Source organism: Homo sapiens, chromosome 10 (assembly GCF_000001405.40).
Source record: "Homo sapiens chromosome 10, GRCh38.p14 Primary Assembly".
Classification (NCBI taxonomy): domain Eukaryota; kingdom Metazoa; phylum Chordata; class Mammalia; order Primates; family Hominidae; genus Homo; species Homo sapiens.
This window is the reverse complement of record NC_000010.11, coordinates 20,803,398-20,822,140: the sequence shown is the minus strand read 5'-3', so window position 1 is coordinate 20,822,140 and position 18,743 is coordinate 20,803,398. Positions and strand designations below refer to the sequence as shown.

The window sequence follows — 18,743 nt, the reverse complement described above, 5'->3', positions numbered from 1 at the left end:
CATTACAATAACTGTTATTTGTTGGGTGCTTACTATGCATTTTGGGTACTTTACATTGCAATATCTCATTTAATCATAAGTAATAATGCCTCTTGCAAAGTGCTGTGCAAACGCAGAAGGACGGCTATGCAGTGGCAGAGACAAAGAGCCTTGGGGAAGGGGTAACGTTGGAGTTAGATCTTGAAAAGGTAATAAAGGTTTAGAGCTGAGTTTTGTGAGGAAAGGCATTCCTGGCAGAGCAAACCAAATATGTTCAAGATCCAAGGCTTGTTCCAGGATTCAAGAAGAGGGTTTAGTGTGATGAGTACTTGGGGTGAAAGATGGCAGGAGCGTATGCTGGAGAGGGAAGTTGAGATACAGATCACAAAAAGGTAGTATGGATTCCCACAGTGTCTCTAAAGTGTGGTTCATATACCATTATGGCATTCCGGTAGATATTATGTGGCTTACTGACAATCTTAATGTTTAAGAGCAGTTGACTTCGTGATTAAATTGTTCTAATGTTTACCTTCTTCCAAAAGAAGGGTGACTAGTTTTCAATTGATGGTAGAAATATAACAATCTCTTAGAAATAACTTTATTTGAAAATAAACAGTGAATTAATTTAATGAAAAAGTATAACATTGTAGGTGTTATTTGTAGTATTTATCTGGTATGACATAGAGAAAGGGGCATGCAAATGGCAGAAATTTGGGAAATTTGGATAACACTCAAGTGGTGGAAAAGAACATGAACCCTGGATCCTGGACTGTTGGATGATTTGATCCTAACTCCAGATCTTACTTGTTGTATAATTGTTGTAAGCCATTCACCTCTTGAAACCTAAATTTCCTCTATATAAAGCAAGGATAAGAGTATTGAAGAGATATTGCTTGTGAAGCACACAGCATGTTTGTGAAGGGATGAATACAAGATGTGAAGATTCTATCAAACTTATGCACCCAAACTTACATCCACTAGAAATTGGCAGTAAGAGTTTCTCTTTGTCAATAATGTGAATTTACTATTCAGATGTAACCCCTTTGAGCTTTAGCCAGAGTGATTTCTTTCAAGCTTGATACAGATTAAACTGAAACATTCCTCCCTTTAGCTCAATCACCCGGTCACAAGAATCTGCGTAACATCTCAAACTACATACCATGGCACACAGAAAGTTACATATCGAGGAAAGAGGCCAGAGGAACCTTACCCCTTTTCATTTATTTTTTAAACTTATTCAACTTCCCTTCACTCTCATGTTCACTACTAAGAGTATGCATCTTAAGTCTATTTCTTTTTCTTTTCTTTCTTTCTTTTTTATTTTTGTTTTGTTTTTTGAGATAGAGTCTTACTCTGTCACCCAGGCTGGAGTGCAGTGGCGTGATCTCAGTTCACTGCAACCTCTACCTCCTGGGTTCAAGCAATTCTCCTGCCTCAGCCTCCTGAGTAGCTGGGATTACAGATGCAAACCACCATGCCTGGCTCATTTTGTATATTTAGTAGAGATGAGGTTTCACCATGTTGGTCAGGCTGGTCTCGAACTCATGACCTCAGTTGATCCACCTGCCTCGGCCTTCCAAACTGTTAGGATTACAGGCGTGAGCCACCAAACCCGACCTCAAGTCTGTTTCATCAGCAGGCCCTGCAGGTCTTGTGGGGATTTCTTGTAAAAGAAAATTCCCTAACCTGAGCTTTAAAGTCTAAAAAGACACTAAAACTGTCCCTGTGAAGTTTCTTCTAATGAGATCTTAACCTCCAGCTCTACTTTTGTCTGCCAAAAGTTCATTTGCCATTCTGATTTTCTCTATTGATGCTCATTTATTTTGGGAGGTGTTGTGGAATTGTTGGGAAAGATGACCACAAACAATGGAGTTAGATCCCCAGCTAAGAAAAACACCTCTGTGCATTAAGTCAGGAAAATTTCTATAATGCTAGGTCAGAGATGGGGCTTCCAATGTTAGAACGGCATAGAGAAGAACCTTTGAAGTTCAAGGTTTCTTTATACAGTAATAGTCTATCACTAAAGTTCAGGTACAGGATTTTGTTACTCTCCTTCCCAATGATAAGAATGTAGAATTATTATTTTTAAATATAAAATGGCAATTTGATAAATGTTGCTTTAGTGCTATGAAGAAATGAATTCATAGAATTCATTCTTACTGATGAGGGGATTATTCATTATTACTGATAAGATCAAACTCAGAGAGGCCACCAATAAATAATATAATCTGAAGGAAAACAACAAAAAGTGTGACTTAAAACATTTGATAAGGGTTGGGTGTGGTGGCTCACACCTGTAATCCCAGCACTTTGGGAGGCCGAGTCGGGAGGATCGCTGGAGCTTGGGAGGTTGAGGCTGCAGTGAGCTGTGATGACGCCACTGCACTCCAGCCTGGACAACGGAGCAAGACCTTGTCTCAAAAATAAAACAACAACAACAACAACAAAACCACTTGACAAGGAAAAGACTGGCATCGCCAAGAAGATAAAATCTATAAGCAATACATATTTCACTATGAAATCCTGATGATGATCTTATTAATGAATGTTCTGTAGCCATGTGACATTTAAAAAAAATCTGTTGCAATGTTTTGGGACGTATTTATTTCCCATAATCTCAAACTGTCTTGCACCTTGTCTCTCAGCTCCAGTATAAAGAGCAAAACTACAAGGCCACTCCGGTAAGCATGACCCCGGAGATAGAGAGAGTGAGGCGAAACCAGGAGCAGCTGAGTGCGGCAAGTCGTTTCTGTTTCCTTTTATATTTTCTCAAACATAACATATTTTTATTTAAAAATATGCCCTTTGGAAGGCCATTATCCTTAGCAAACTAACACAGGAACGTAAAACCAAATACTGCATAATAATGAGAGCTAAATGATGAGAATACATGGACACATAGAGGGGAATAACAGACACCGGAGCCTGTTGGACGGGAGAGGATGGGAGGAGGGAGAGGATCCGGAAAAGTAACTGTTGAGTACTGGGCTTAATGCCGGGGTGATGAAGTCATCTGTACAACAAACTCCCATAACACAAGTTCACCTGTGTAACAAACCTGCACATGTACCGCTGAACTTAAAAGTTTTAAAAGAAAATGAATTTGAGCAACATGCAATTATATGGATGAATCATATCATTATAACATGAAAAAGTGAATATGTACATGCAGCATTAATTCTTTTGTAAAATTTAACAACTGCAATAATAACGATGATGATAAACGGAATATCTCCAGATTTAATAAAACTATCTAAAAATTTAAAAAGGAAAAGTTTTACACCCTCTGCATTTTTGGATGTTCCTTTTCACATTTCCTTGTTGAAGGGCATGAACTGCGTGTCCAGGAAATTTGGGACTGTGTTGCTGTACCTTAGCTGTGTTTGCTTATTCAAGAGATCTTCATTAAGTACCCAAATGTACTGGGCATTGTCCTGGTCACCCAGACACAAAGATGGGTAAGACCCACTTTCTATCCTCAAGGACCTCATAGTTCAGTTGGTAAATCTCTTTAAAAAAATGCAGTTAATGGAGAATACTGGATCTGATGTCAATATGAAAAGAAAAATATATATATATTGGAACAGGGCAAAAGAAGACCTGGCTTGACTGGCATTCTAAGACATAGTATCAAGTCAAAGAGCCTTATAAATGGAAAACATTTTTCAGTCATTCAATAGTCTGTTGTGAATAAAGCAAAAATAGTTAACAAGGCAGCGCTACTCTGTGCTGGGCCCTGTACTAATGTTCTATGTAAACCCATGAGGTCAGCACTGTTTGTTTCTCTGGTTGGTAGATGTGGGAAACTGAGTCTTGGGGAGGTCAGAGGACATGCTGGCCTCCCACCCCCAGCCCCCCCACCCAGCTAGTAAAGGCAGAGCTGAGATTGGAACATATTGTTGAACTTTCACCAATACAAACAAAAGCCTTCTTTTTCCAAAACAAGTACCTTTGAAAGACTTCAAAATGTAAGAGTAGGTTCTCCTGGGTGGAGATAATGAGGCTCAACACTGTTTATCCTTATAATATCCCTGGGAGGTGGTAGGAGTCAGAGAGCTTTAGCTTCTATTGAAGGGAGAAGCCCCACGGTCAGAAGACAGTAAAAAGCCTTCTAGGGTGACAGGGAATGGACTTCACAAGAGTTCTCTTGTAATGACTTCATTCTGGCGTTTCTTTTAAAGCATGTTGCCTTATGATTCCATTACTTTTATTTGTGGAATTTATGGTTAATTTTGATATTGAAGAGGAAAGCATTTATTGAAGACATATTTAAACAGTACCAGCAACAACTTGTGCTTGCTAAATCAGACCCATCGGAATGTGGGCGTATATGTAAGCGTGAAGGTTGATGTAATCAACTGTGGAAAAAAATGTGTAAAAAGATGGTGCTAATTTTGAGCCTTGTCCTTTGTGGTATTTCAGTGGAGCCCATTGTGCTATCTGTTAAAGTTCTTATTTATCCTTCTTAGGTAAAATATAAGGGAGAACTTCAACGGGGAACTGCAATTTCTGATCCACCAGAGCTGAAGAGGGCAAAAGAAAACCAGAAAAACATCAGCAATGTGTGATCATCTTAGTAACTTTTTTCTTACACTATCAAATGCATTGTCCACGTGTGAATGAAGGGATTGTATTTATAGAATTTTCATAACCTTGAGCTGATGTCCTGTTCTCATTTGACTAACAACTTATTTGAAAGATTTCGGGGACTTTGGTATTGTGGGTACAGTCAGGTGTTCCCCACCTCAGGGTTCCCAGTGACTCATCAGGATGACTTTTTTCTTTTTGTTTTTTTGAGACAGGGTCTTGCTCTGTCACCCAGACTGGAATGCAGTGGCACAATCTTGACTCACTGCAACCTTTGCCTTCTGGGTTCAAGTGATCCTCCCAGCTCAACCTCCCAAGCAGCTGGGATTACAGGCACATGCTGCCACACCTGGCTAATTTTTGTATTTTTTGTAGAGACGGGGTTTGGGCTGGTCTCAAACTCCTGAGCTCATGCAATCCGGCCACCTTGGCCTCCCAAAGTGCTGGGATTACAGATGTGTGCCACCGGGCCTGGGTGACTTTTTTTGACAGGTTGTTGTGTATCCCTTCTATCTTGTCATCTAGCTGATGGGTGCTATGGTCTCCTCAAGTCCCACAGTCGTAGCTTCTGGCATCCTGGCCCTACAAACAAACATTTTCCCTCCCTTTTCTACCAGCATGTGTTCCTGTTCTTGCGCTTCCTCCGAGCCCCACTTTCCACTTCCCACAATCATGACTCCATTTTTGGGCAAAGTCTAGGAAGAAATGATAATGTGTGCATGGCTGAATAGGTTATATTGGACAGGACCATTTTGGGGGCACTTAATAAGGGGCTGGCAGTTTTTACCTAGACACCAACTTGTGGCCTGCTCCGATTCCCTGTTGTTGAAATAATTCACGGATGCAGTTCAAGAAGAAAGTCCTCTTTTACAGTCATTAACATATAGATTGGGTTCTTTGGAAGAGGAAACTTGGAAATCTATTACGTTCAAAGAAATCTTTTATTCTTCACACCTTTAAAGTCATTTTACCAGTTTATAATGCAAAGGCAGGTGATTGATACTTTTCCTAACAACTATATTTTAGAGAAGTAGACGCTCATCTTTCCCCCATATATTTAGAGTCATACTTGATGTGACTCCATTATTCTCAAAAAGGAACATGGTTATTTAGACAAGGAGTGGACCAGTGAGAAGCATGCTGGCTTTTTAAAGGATGCCCACAGTCACCTATTTAAACACATCTTTACAAAAATTCTGCCGCAGTTAATTCCTAAGAAACCACGACCATGTAGTACCAGTCTACGGTGAATACCTTTAAGTAATCTCCATGAAGACATTTATTCTCATTTCCTTTTGTGGTTAAATATTTATTACAGCTTTACGGATGGTATGCCTATGTATTCGAGTACATCCACAGTGATTTGGACACATGTACTCTCTTATGGGATGAAATGAAATAGATTGATTTAAGATGCCAGCATTTTAAATACAACTCAACCTCTGAAAATATTTTTTGTAGTTTCCTACAAAACTTCCCTGACTAACTCATTAAAATAAATACTGTGAGCCAGGCACTGTGGCTCAGGATTGTCATCCCAGCACTTTGGGAGGCTGAGGTGGGTGGATCACTTGAGCCCAGGAGTTTCAGGTCAGCTTGGACAACATGGCAAAACTCAATCTCTACAAAAATACAAAAATTAGCCAGGCATGGTGGCAGGTGCCTGTAATCCCAGCTACCTGGGAGGCTGAGGTGGGAGGATTGCCTGAGCCTGGGAGATCGAGGCTGTGGTGAGCAAAGATTGTACCACTGCACTTCAGCCTGGGTGACAGAGCAAGACCCTGTCTTAAATAAATAAATAAGTCTCTTTGTTGAATTGATTCATAGTATTCTATTTTTTGTTCTCTGAAATGATAGGTTTATTACAGAGGTCAGCTGGGAAGAGCTACCACTTTAAGTGTAACTCCTGAAATGGAAAGAGTGAAGAAGAATCAAGAAAATATTAGCTCGGCAAGTGGTTTTCTTCATTTTAGACTATCACAAAGGATGTGTCTTTTATTATTTACTTGCGGTCCTCCTTTGCTTGTGAAAATAAAACTTATTTTCAAGAAACATTTGTGATGTGTCCAATAAGTACATGTGTTATTTCAGATGACTTCCAAAAGCTGCCACTGCAAACATTTACATTATTTTGCAACTCTTTGTTATTTCCAGATGTGACCAACAGTTACATTCAAAGCTTAGGTTAAAATTATATTCATTTAAACAACGATTCATGATATGTTAGCCGTGTCTTTGAAGGTGGTAAAGCCTTTGATGTGTGCGTTAAATAATTGTCATTTTCCTGAAATATTTCATTGAACATGGATTGTTAAATGCTGTCTGCAAAACAAAATAGGAGATGGATCATTACCCCCACTAAAGACTTACAGAAAAGAATCCTTAAATACAGTTAACGTAGAATTCAGTTGCTCACCAAAGTCCAGTGGTGTACATGAGTATCTTATCTGAATATTGTGCTTCCTCTTAGTGAATATCAGGGCTTCAATTCTGAATTGTACATAATGCCCTCAGGTCCACAGTAAGTGGTATCCATATCTTACACCTAATCAGTTTCATAAATGGCGGTGTTCTGATGGGCAGTTGTGAAGAACACAGGCCCTTTTCTTAGCATACCCTGAATAGCTGTTTGCCTGAGAATCAGCATTTAGGCTTTGCAATTTACAGCTTCCTAGTGACATTTCTGTCCAGAGATGCTGTGTGTATTTAACATAAATTACCTTTAAGTTGTGGCTGCTTAGAAGAACAACTAAATTTGTTCCTCATTGTTTCTTATTCCCTAAGCAGAGAAAAAAATAAAAAGAAATAGAGTAGCTTGTATGCATTTTTTAACACTCTTATGGTAGAAAATTGGGAAATTTAGAAACAAAATAACTTTGGGTTCTATTTAATAGTTTTGGATTTTCTCTGTTTAACTTAAATATGATAACCAGTTGTGTGTGTGTGTGTGTGTGTGTATGTGTGTATGTGTGTGTTTGAGACACAGTCTCTGTTGCCCGGGCTGGAATGCAATAGCACAATCATAGCTCATTGCAGCTTTGAACTCCTGGGCTCAAGCAGCTGTCTTGTCTTAACCTCTCAAGTAGCTGGGACTACAGGCACACGCCCAACTAATTTTTTTTTTTTTTTAATTTTTACCTGTAGAGATGGGGGGTTTCACTGTGCTGCCCAGCCTAGTCTCAAATCCCAGGCCTCAAGTCATCCTCCCACCTTAGCTTTCCAAAGTGCTGTGATTACAGATACGAGTCCTCGGGCTTGCGCAGGTTTACAGACTAGATAGATAGTTACTATTGGTCATTCACACATTTGTTTAGAGTTGATAGATTTAGGTCATTTAGCAGTAGGCGGTGGAGGAGATCTTTGATTGTAAAATTTTAGGTTGCTATTCTAGAACAAAATTTAATTCACTGAAATAGTTACCTGGAAAATAATTTCAAGTATGTTGCATATGTTTCACTCATTTGTAAAGCTTAAAAATGTTACATCATGTGTTTTCTTATCATTGTCTTATGCCTACTATTTACTTTGCAGGTAAAATATACCCAGGACCATAAACAGATGAAAGGTAGACCAAGTCTGATTTTAGATACACCTGCTATGAGACATGTTAAAGAAGCACAAAATCATATTTCAATGGTAGGGTCCAACCAGATCATTCTTAAAACATGCTAAGGAATGGGCGGATCCAGTGCACGGATGGCATTACTTCACTATTAATCCGATAACTAACAAAGCATGGAAATGTGGTTGGCTTGTCTTTTGAGGGAGGGGCATTTCTAATCACACTGAAATGCAGTGGAAACATTTAGTCTAATAAAATGATTTTTCTCAGTGACTTTTTCTGGTGTGTCTTTATTTCTAACGTGACTACTGTAAACTCATAGTGTGAAAGATATTTGTGTAGACTTCTTTCCAATTAATTCTAAGACAAAATTTGGTCTGTTTGCCTGTCATAAAGGATATGAAAAGAAGTGTGTTTTTAAAGCTGTGTTTTTAAAAATGTGTGTTTTAAAAATTATATTATCAGATGTAATTTACCTACCATAAAGTTTGCCCATTTAAAGTGTTCAATTCAATGGTTTCTAGTATAATTTACAGTTACACAACTATCTCCTGGACCTAATTTCAGGACATAAAAAAAGTATATTTTGAAGTATAAGTTTTTGTAATTATATTAAAAGTGGTATATATTGTTACCTATAAAATTTCAAACTGATTTTAAATAATGCCATTTTCATGAATGATTGCCTGGAAATAGATATCACTTTATTGCATACTGAAGTTGAAGAGATAGGAAATTTAATTTATATTTAAATTAGTATATTTTAGGAAGTAACCAGGATTTGAGAATATGTATTTTTACAAGCTCTCATTAATAATATATATATAGTTTTATATATAATTTAAAATAGATATGAGCTATAATGATTAAAAACTTTGTGAAAATATCAGCACTTGATTTCTGATGCTAAGAAACTGAAGTTCCAGACTTTAGTTTTGGAGTATTTGGAAAAGATACATACATGTAGACAATCTGCACGCAGCCAGTGCAGTGTACACCTGTCATTTAATAAAAATGTTGTGAAAGAGGTAACTATCCGCAAAATTCAGTATGATGATTTTTCCTTTTTCAGGTAAAATACCATGAAGATTTTGAAAAAACAAAGGGGAGAGGCTTTACTCCCGTCGTGGACGATCCTGTGACAGAGAGAGTGAGGAAGAACACCCAGGTGGTCAGCGATGCTGCCTATAAAGGGGTCCACCCTCACATCGTGGAGATGGACAGGAGACCTGGAATCATTGTTGGTAAGCTGACGGCGTTTGTCGGCCGGTGTGTGTGGTCGAAAAGATCATGCTTGCTCTAGCTTCAGAATTACCCTCTTGAGTCATCTGACTCCTCATCACATGTTGGTTGTGGTACCCAATTTAAAATGGACCGCAGGTAAAGTATTATTTTTGTACGATGTGGAATGGGATTTCTGGCATTCACCTGGTATCATCTCAAGTCTTTTCTATTATTGGAAGCTCTGTCTTTAATACCTTGCTAATTTTAAGAATGTTCCTCCTTGTATCACACACCAGGGCCTGTTGTGAGGTGGGGGGAGGGGGGAGGGATAGCATTAGGAGATACACCTAATGTAAATGACGAGTTAAGGGTGCAGCACACCAACGTGGCACATGTATACGTATGTAACAAACCTGCATGTTGTGCACATGTACCCTAGAACTTCAAGTATAATAATAATAAAAAAAAGAATGTTCCTCCTTGTTAAGCAAAGAAGCAGCAGAGATATGAGTGATCACAATGGTTGAACAATTACTTTGTTTTTCTTTAAAAAGAAAAACAAAATAATTGTTTTTCTGCTTGGTTGACGTGTTGTTCTGTTGACCTCATGTGCATAAGTGGCAGAAATAACCATATTGCGTTTAGGTCCTTTTATCAAAAACAGACACGCCATGGGCGTTCTGATGGTACTCCATAATAGTAATAGCTCATTTTAAAAATATTATTTCTGGACTGGAATAGTTGAGAGCCATCTGAAAGTCTTGCAATTAAGAGAGCAAACTTTTATTCCTGCTATCTGTTCCTTATAGTCAGGAGAAATCCTAGAAGGATATTTGTTGAATGGTGGCTGAGATATCAGAAAAGATCATACTGAAGTATAAGGCAGGGCTAGGAAGGATGATTATTGATTTTTCAGTCTGTATCAACAACTGAAGACTATTGTCTCCTTCAGAGCAGTTAACCTCTGAATTATGTAGTTACGTAGCTTAAAGAATATTTTTGGTATATGCCACTCAGTAATATCAGTGTTAGGTTTTCTTCATCTTCAAAAGTAGGAGCTTATTTTTTGGTACTAGTGAAAGGCCATTTAGAGATAAGCTAAATTTGACAGGGTAATGTCTTTACAAAACCAGGGTGCTAAAGTCAGAGCAGCACTAAGTAACTTGGATGATTATACTAAAGTGACTCTGGAAGTATTTTCTGAAGAAGGATTCCAAACATGTTTGTAGGCAATTGATAGCTTTGCTGATCTGCCTGAGTTGATTACTTAAAAGGATCACATTAAGTTGGATGGATGAGTTGTGATGTTTTCATTCAATGTGACACCAAATTAGAGTTTCATTGCTTTGTGCTAAAGGGATGGAACTATCTTAAGGGATAGTGCAGGGGTTCTGATTTATCTCACTTAGGGTGGAACTGCTAAAGTCTGTACAGCTTACTTCCAGGCCCTGCACACATCAGAGGTCAGGAATGATGGTGAGGTCGTTGCTAAAAACCATGAAACTGTCTAGACCGTGGGCTCTCAGAATTCAGTACTCAAAACCATTGAGGTTGAAATTATGATTGTTTTATAAAATATAAGATGTATGACTCTAAGTTATTTACTTACTTGGCAATCCAGAAGTCAGTTTATTTGTTCTTATTGGGAAGAACTGTTTTCCATTGAAATTTCCATAATTGGCCAACATTAAACTTTCCAATGAGCCAGCTTCTGTATCAGGCATGAAAATACACGTTTAGAGATTTTCTGAGTAATTCAGATTAAGCCAATTTGTGCTGCTTCTATTTTTGTTGGAGGCTCTGCTACTTCTTACGAGCTGTGTAACCTTGGCCAAGCTACTCAATTTCTCTGTGCCTCAGTTTCCTCATCTACAAAATGAGGATAATATGTATGAAACTTAAATTAATTAGGTGTTAAATGAGAAGAGTGCCTGGCATATGGTCAGCACTACATAATATTAATTAAAAACAGACAAGCAAATTTCCAGTTCCATTTTACAAATTAATTGTTTTTGCTGTAGCCCCATTTCTGCCGTATGTCTATAACTAGGTTTTTCTTTTCCAGTTGTTGGTACAGCTGTAAACAGCTTATTTTAGGATCTGATGCCCTTTTGTTGGAGAGACTGGTGAATTCAGAAGTTATTAAAATAAGAGGAGAATAAAGTGGTTTGCACAGTCTGATCACTGACTATGGCAGGGATCCATTGACAGCAGGAAGCTGATATTATTTCTCTTTTCATTCATCATATTTCCTTGCTGTGTGCCTTGCTTATAACACTTTTTAAATAAGTGTATCTAATAAGATATGCATTCCCTAAGATACACTTAGCTTGCACTCACAGACTCAGAATGAAAACTAGGCTTGCCACCATTCCACATTTTAAATATTCATTTCTGTTATAGAAAGGGACTTTTTTTTTGTTTGTTTTGTTTTTTAAACATAAACTTCTCAATTGTTTCCTATGAATTACTCACATGTCCTGAATCAGAAACTATAATCAAACATTTTGCTTGTTTCAGCCTGTGGAGAGCAAGAGTGACTGGGGATTCAGGGGTGCTGTGAGGGGATGCATATAGCTGCCCCATGTGCTCCTGTGTTGTGTGATGGGTCACAGGTACTTCAGCAAGGTCTGATAGGGCAGCTCAATGAATAGAGCAGGCAACTTCAATCTGATTACAAAGATTTCTTAACAGATACTTGTGAAAGCAAGTATTTTTTCATTCTCTTCTGAAGTCAGCAGCACTGTGAGTTTGTCTGTTACATGTTTGCTTCTTATATCTATTCCTTTGCAGACTTTGTCTTGACTCTTTTGGGTACTGGCTTTTTTTTTTTTTTTTCCTTTTTTAAATTCCTTCTTGATGAGTGTTGATTTCTTCCTTTTGGCAAAAGACCTCAAAGTTTGGCGCACAGATCCTGGCTCCATCTTCGACCTTGATCCCCTGGAAGACAATATTCAGTCTAGAAGTCTCCATATGCTCTCTGGTATTACTCACTTTTTAGTTCATCCCATTTATGTGGTTTTGTCCCAAAAGTGAACCACTGTGAACTGTAGAGGTTCATTGTACTGTGTAATGTAAATTTTAAAGCTGAGAATTTGGCAAACCAAAAAAATGCTATGCTACTTTTAAATACAATTAGTCATTTATGAAAAGAAAACTTTTTAATATATCTTAATTAGTCTGTCCTAGATTCATTTAAATAAGCTTTTTATTAGTAAGAATGCTTTTATATTATTTCTGGGTTTACAAATACAGTTATTTGGATTGCACTAAAGTGCTGAGACAAAAGGAGGTTTGTTTCATGAAATACATTGTTATAATTTTTTAAAGGTAGATTTAAAGAATTATATATAGAACAGTAGAAAGGTTTTTTACAGGGCATCATAGATGTCTTAAAATAAATTTTCAAGTATCTTTAAAATTTTCTTTGACATTTTATATAATGTAAAATGAATAGTTTACATGGCAAGCATAGTTGGCTTTTAACTTAGATTGCAAGTTCATAATTAAAGGCAAAAAAATGAATAGTTGGGGTACGAATGATGGCTTGATTTGACATTTCAAATTTTCTCTGACAGTTATGCAGTTATGTTAAACAATAGATAGCTATGTCATTTAGATCTTGCTCTAACCCCTGATTTCTACTCTATATTTAATTTTTGATGTGAATAGAATTGAATACCCAAGGCAAAGCAGGAATTCTAGTACTTTTATAGTCACTTTCATTCATATAGTTAGCCAAACAGTGTCACTTGATTTTCTAAAAATAAAGAAAAGGCAACACATACTATATATCTGGTGATAGTTTAAAGGAATTATTGAAAACCAGGCATTACAATTAACAAAAATTTATTAATTTACCAATGTTTTCTTTGTCCTTGTCAATTTCCTATCCCTTACCCGTCCTTTAAAATTGAGACTTAAAAGAGCATAAAACGATGGTTAAGTTATTCATGTAGTTGATGCAATGCATGCTGAAGTTTGGGAATAGGTGCCTAGCGCTGAGATTTTGAGTTATTCTTTACTAAGAGATGGTTTTTCTTCTCTGTTAAGCTTTTAAGTAATTTTTTGTTGATTTTGTTTTTCGAGTCACTTAATCACACGTGTAAATATTTTCCCTCCAATATAGAAAAGGCGAGTCACTATAGGCGACACTGGTCTCGATCCCATTCCAGCAGTACTTTCGGTACAGGTCTCGGAGACGACAGGTCAGAAATCTCCGAGATTTACCCTAGCTTTTCATGCTGCAGTGAGGTAACAAGACCGTCTGATGAAGGAGGTATCAAACATTCACTGCTTACAAAGAAAATCGATTCATTTTTTAAGTGTGTCACAAGAGTGTCTTTAAAATTCTTTTCACTTTTGCATGAACATCTATCCTGGCTGTATTTGAGAATTTAAAATTAAGTTCAGAAAGTTAATAGTCTTTTTTTTTTTTTAAAGAAAAAACCCTACTAATTTGCATTTTTGCATGTTATTTTCCCCCCGTCTTACTTCACTATTATCGCAGCAATGGATTTGTAATGACAAAAGGGTCTTGAGACTTGCTGCTTGAGTCTGTTTCACAGGAGTTATATGTGATAAATATACACACTACACAGTCATAGGAGAAACTTGAGTTCTGCATAGTTTTTATATGATTTCCATTAAGGAAAAAAATCAATCTTACAGTAATATTGGGGTACCTCAGAGGTTATAATGAATGTGTATATTTTAAATATTAATATAAACTTGCAGACAGAGTTAGACCTTGCCAAAAGAAATTGGGCATAATACTTGGGATATGAGAGGGTTTTTTTTTTTTTTTAAATGAGAAATACTATTGATTGTTAATAATCTTGTCACTATTTTATATACCCACTCTTTTCCTGTATCTTCTGTTTTCTGTATCCAGGCTGATGGATTAAGCCTAGAACTTCAATGAATTTCTTTAGGGTATTAAACTAATTTTACTTATAAATCTGTTTTTAAAGGTTAAGACTAAAATGTTTCCTCACCTCATTGCAGTTATATTTTAGTACAGCAAGGAGGGGGAAAGGACTGAAGCATATGAGAACAAAAGCAATACTGAATTTCCCTTTCAACTCAAAGGCCATATTGTTGAAATCCCAAAGGTAGGAAATTTTGAGGTTGAGCAACTTAACACCTTGGTGGGTAAAAAGTAATGTGACTGAGGAAATGACCAAGCTGCGAAAGATTGTATAATTGTGTAATTAGTTTTTCTGCACTCATTACAGTGAAACACTAATGGGAATAAAATTTATTATATTCTATACATCTTGAATTGTAAAACTGGACTGACCTTATTTTGGTAGAAATTTATTAAAGGTCTCCTTTTTGTGTAACTAATGAAATCATTATAAACTGGTTGTTTTATTGTGGGTAAAAATACATGAGAAAATCTCCCCTTTTTGTGTCTGTCTGAATTGCTAATGAAGGGTTCAGTAACTTCTGATTACTTTTTTGATAGAGTCTTGCTCTGTTGCCCAGGCTGGAGTGCAGTGGCACAATCTCAGCTCACTGCAGCCTTCACCTCCTGGGTTCAAGTGATTCTTGTGCCTCAGCCGCCTGAGTAGGTGGGTCTACAGGTGTGTGCCACCACACCTAGCTAATTTTTGTATTTTTTATAGAGACGGGGGTCTCGCAATGTTGTCCATGCTGGTCTGGAACTCCTGACCTCAAGTGATCCACCCACCTCAGCCTCCCAAGTGCGGGGATCAGAGGCGTGAGCCACTGTACCTGACCTCTGATTACTTTTTTTGGACGTGGGGTCACTGATTTATGCCCTCAGTGTCCTTCCTGGTTCTGTAGATGCAGAATAATATTGATATTTAAAGAGATAAATAAAACCCAAAGCAAATACAAGAACTAATGTTGATCAACCTTATTTAATGTTACTCAGTTCAGCATACTGGAATTGATGTCTCTCCCAAAGGCAATGTACCAGAGAGTCTTTGTTTCAAGAATGACCCTTTACTTCATGTCTATCCTCCTCAGTCCATCATTCATTCATTTAGTCACCAAATGTTTACTGAGTGCTGTTTGTGCACTGGCCAAGAGCTTAGATCTGGCAATGCACACAGCAGTGAGCAAAAGAAACATGCATCCGCTGTAAGGGGCTTAGAGGCTGGTGGGGGGACCTTGACATTTAGCAGACACTTAAACAAGTAATACATAATGAAGAGCAGAATCAGGCCTGTGACGGGGTGGAATGAGGGCTACAATAACAGCGCAGCTGCATCTGGCCTTGATGTCAGGGAAACCTTCCTTGGGGAGGGGATATTTGAGTAGAGATGTGAATGCTGATGGACGTTAACGAGGCTGTGGGGCTTTGGGAGAAAAATGTTTCTGATAGGACAGACGCATGCATTGGATAGGGCAGAACATTGAGATGTTCAAATGGAAGCATCACACACACAATTAGAGTTTAGAAGAGGAGGCCGCACCCGAGGTCAGTTTGGAAATCATCCATCCAAGTCTATGATTTAGGTCCTAAATGAATCTGTGTAGAGATCAGGAATTCGGAGGGCCTCTGCTTGGATGCCTCTACTCCCTCTGCAGCAGCAGACCATGCCCACGTCACTTGTCTCTTTGCATTCTCTCCTCCAAGGCTGTAAAAACCTGCTGCTGTTAGTTAATCACCTCTTTTTCTTAAGCCCACATTCCTTCTCTTTTCTAATTATTTCTAGCAAGAGGACCCTATCCTAAGCCAAATTGAATGAGAAAATGTCTCATTGGAAGAAGGTATAGGCAAATATTCTTGCATTTATACTAGAATTTGAGTAACACATGGATGGGTAAGAGGGAATAATCATATTTTTTTTTAAAGGAGGAATTTCATACTTCTTCAAAGATGGAGGGAGATTTTGGACAGCAGCGATGACTCAGTGACTCAAATAATGCCTTGTAAGAAAAAGTTGACTTTTTTTTTTTTTTGAGACGGAGTCTCGCTGTGTCACTCAGCCTGGAGTGCAGTAACGTGATCTTGGCTCACTGCAACCTCTGCCTCCCAGGTTCAAACGGTTCTCCTGCGTCAGCCTCCTGAGTAGCTGGGATTACAGGTGCACGCCACCACACTTGGCTAATTTTTGTATTTTTAGTAGAGATGGGGTTTCACCGTGTTGGCCAGGCTGGTCTTGAACTCCAGATCTCAAGTGCTCCACTTGCCTCCGCCTCCCAAAATGCCAGGATTACAGACATGAGCCACTGTGCCTGGCCAAAAAGTTGACTCTTTGGGGTCATTTATAAATTTCTGTTGTTCTCAGTCCTCTGTTTTGAGGCCAAGATGCTCTGTCTTTAGGGACATTGCCTATTTTAAAAAATAGATATTGGGGTATGAAGCAAAAGTCAAGATGTACCAATAAGTTGTATAACATAAACACAAGTGACATGTGCCCACAAAAGAGCCATATGAATTTGAAAAGATTTTAGGATACATTGGAATATGCTAATTTAATTTAAGTGAAGCAAAGCACATTCTACCAATTGGCACCTGATGTCAGTATTCAAATGATTAGTGACATATATCAAACCTTATAAGTTCAATACCACCTCTCTGCTTCCCCCTTCCCTGCAGAAATCTCCTTTCTGAGCTTCCCAGTTTGCTAAGTGACAACTACAACTTTCCAGCTACTTAAACCCTTTGGAGTCATCCCTGACGCTTGTCTTTCACTCATACCCCATGTCTAGTTCATTGGCAAATCTTGTCAGCTGGACCATGACAAAAATATCCAGAATCTGAGTGCTTGGCCCTACCTCCATTGTTGCTACCCTTATGTCAGCCACTGTCATCTCTCATTTGGACAATGATAGTTGCCTCCTGACTGGTTTGCCTGCTTCTGCTCTGGCCACACCATCTTCCACCCACCTCCTGCTCTGATCTGTTCTCCACCTGACATCTGGAATGATCTTCTTGAAACCCTGGTGACATCATGTCACTCTTCTATCATTTTATTCTGAATATAACCCAAATTTTCATCATTGCGTACAAGACCCATATCTGATCTTGGGCCCCGGTCACTGCTCTGAACTAATTTTCTGCCATTCCAAGTATATCTGTCCACTCTCACCATTTCTGGTCCCCTTGCTTTACTCAAACTTTCCAAGAATGCTTCCCCCTAGGGCTTTTGCACACACTGTTCCCCCAGCCTGGAATACTTCTGCCACCCCAGATATTTGCTTAGCTAAGTGCCATTTTTCTTTATGTTTCAGTGGGCCTGCAGCATATTCAGCATTGGAGCCCAAGATTAATTCTGATTCACCCTCTCTTAAGTGGAACGGTGCTTGGTTAGTTTCTGCTAATGTTGAAATAAATCATGTTACAGCTAGAGGCCATAATGGTAGGGTTAGTCATGTGAACCTTTGTGTAGTGATGAGGGTTGATAAAGCAAATGATCCACTTATCAAGAAAACTAACAGGAGGATGATTGCTAGGGGAACTTTGTATGGAATTGTTTGGGCTACTGCTTGAAGTGCGCTAATGAGTACATATTTTGAATTGAATGTCCAGTGCTCAGATGGTACCCTCTCTAACTACTAGAGATAAAATAGCACCCCTTTCCTGACTATCTGTCCCTTTTCTCTGAATTTTTTCCTTCATAGCACCTGGTACCACTTCAGATATTATATATTGATTTATTTATTTGTCTCTCTCTGCATGCCCAACAAGATCAGAGGTACTGGCTGTTTTGTTGACTGTTGTATCTCTAGCTCTTAGAATAGGCATTCAGCAACTATTTGGAGAGGGAATAAAATGGCCAAATGAATATTTTAAAAACAAGGACCACATGCATAAATATATATAAGTATAATTATTTTTATAAAATAAAATTCTCTTGGGGAAGGCTTTCAAGAAGATTCTTACATTTTTATGATGTTTTGATATGTTTCAATGACATTAAAGCATAGCTGAAAAAATACTCTAAAGTGAAAACATTCCCAGTATGTGTGCATATATATATATATATATATATATATTTTTCGTACAGAAGGAAAGAAGTCTCCATGATTTCTCAGTGGCTTTGAAATTTAGGGTCCCCTTTGAAATGTGTGCTCTGCTGGGCTCTGGTGAGAAGGTGCTGATTGACTCTATAAAAAGTGGAGTGATGAAAATCGTTAGTGCTTTTAACAGTAACAGTCAATCATATGCATTTGTTTAAATTCTATCCTAGAAATTGAAAAGAATTTTATAACAATACTAGTTAGGGGTAAGATGAAGAAATGTTTATAAATATTTAGAAACGCTATTTTTCTTCTGGATGTTGTTGATTCTTTTAAATTTATTTACTTTTAAAAACAAAATGTAGTTAAAATTTTTTGGTTCAAGATCATCTTCTGAGTACCACTGCTATAATGGACTATTTTAAGGATTGATTTTTCTTTTTTAATGTTT

The 18,743-nt window shown here is 37.9% G+C and overlaps 1 protein-coding gene and 1 pseudogene across 17 annotated transcripts in view, besides 1 other annotated feature; one reads left to right on the top strand and one right to left on the bottom strand.

The window, feature by feature from the left end:
• NEBL (nebulette) overlaps window positions 1–18,743 on the top strand; it is a 513,078-nt gene that overhangs the window by 470,910 nt on the left and 23,425 nt on the right. For 8 of the 17 annotated variants that reach the window (NM_001377326.1, NM_001377327.1, NM_001377328.1 and 5 more), the window contains one exon: window positions 9,201–9,372. In NM_001377326.1, the coding sequence (NP_001364255.1) occupies window positions 9,201–9,372 (172 nt within the window). Of the gene's footprint in view, window positions 1–2,624; window positions 3,438–4,448; window positions 4,637–6,423; window positions 6,517–8,097; window positions 8,203–9,200; window positions 9,373–12,242; window positions 12,336–13,481; window positions 13,632–18,743 lie in introns of those variants that run through there. The other 9 variants (XM_047424443.1, XM_011519291.3, XM_005252342.6 and 6 more) reach the window with 6 other exon arrangements.
• Window positions 4,125–5,324: an enhancer, noted in NCBI's record as "MED14-independent group 3 enhancer chr10:21105746-21106945 (GRCh37/hg19 assembly coordinates)". NCBI's record gives its function as "activates an origin of replication core promoter dependent on BRD2, BRD4, P300/CBP and CDK7 cofactors, and independent of MED14, by STARR-seq in HCT116 cells {active_cell/tissue: HCT116}" and the evidence as "EXISTENCE:reporter gene assay evidence [ECO:0000049][PMID:35650434]".
• MTND1P21 (MT-ND1 pseudogene 21) lies at window positions 17,561–17,860 on the bottom strand (annotated as a pseudogene).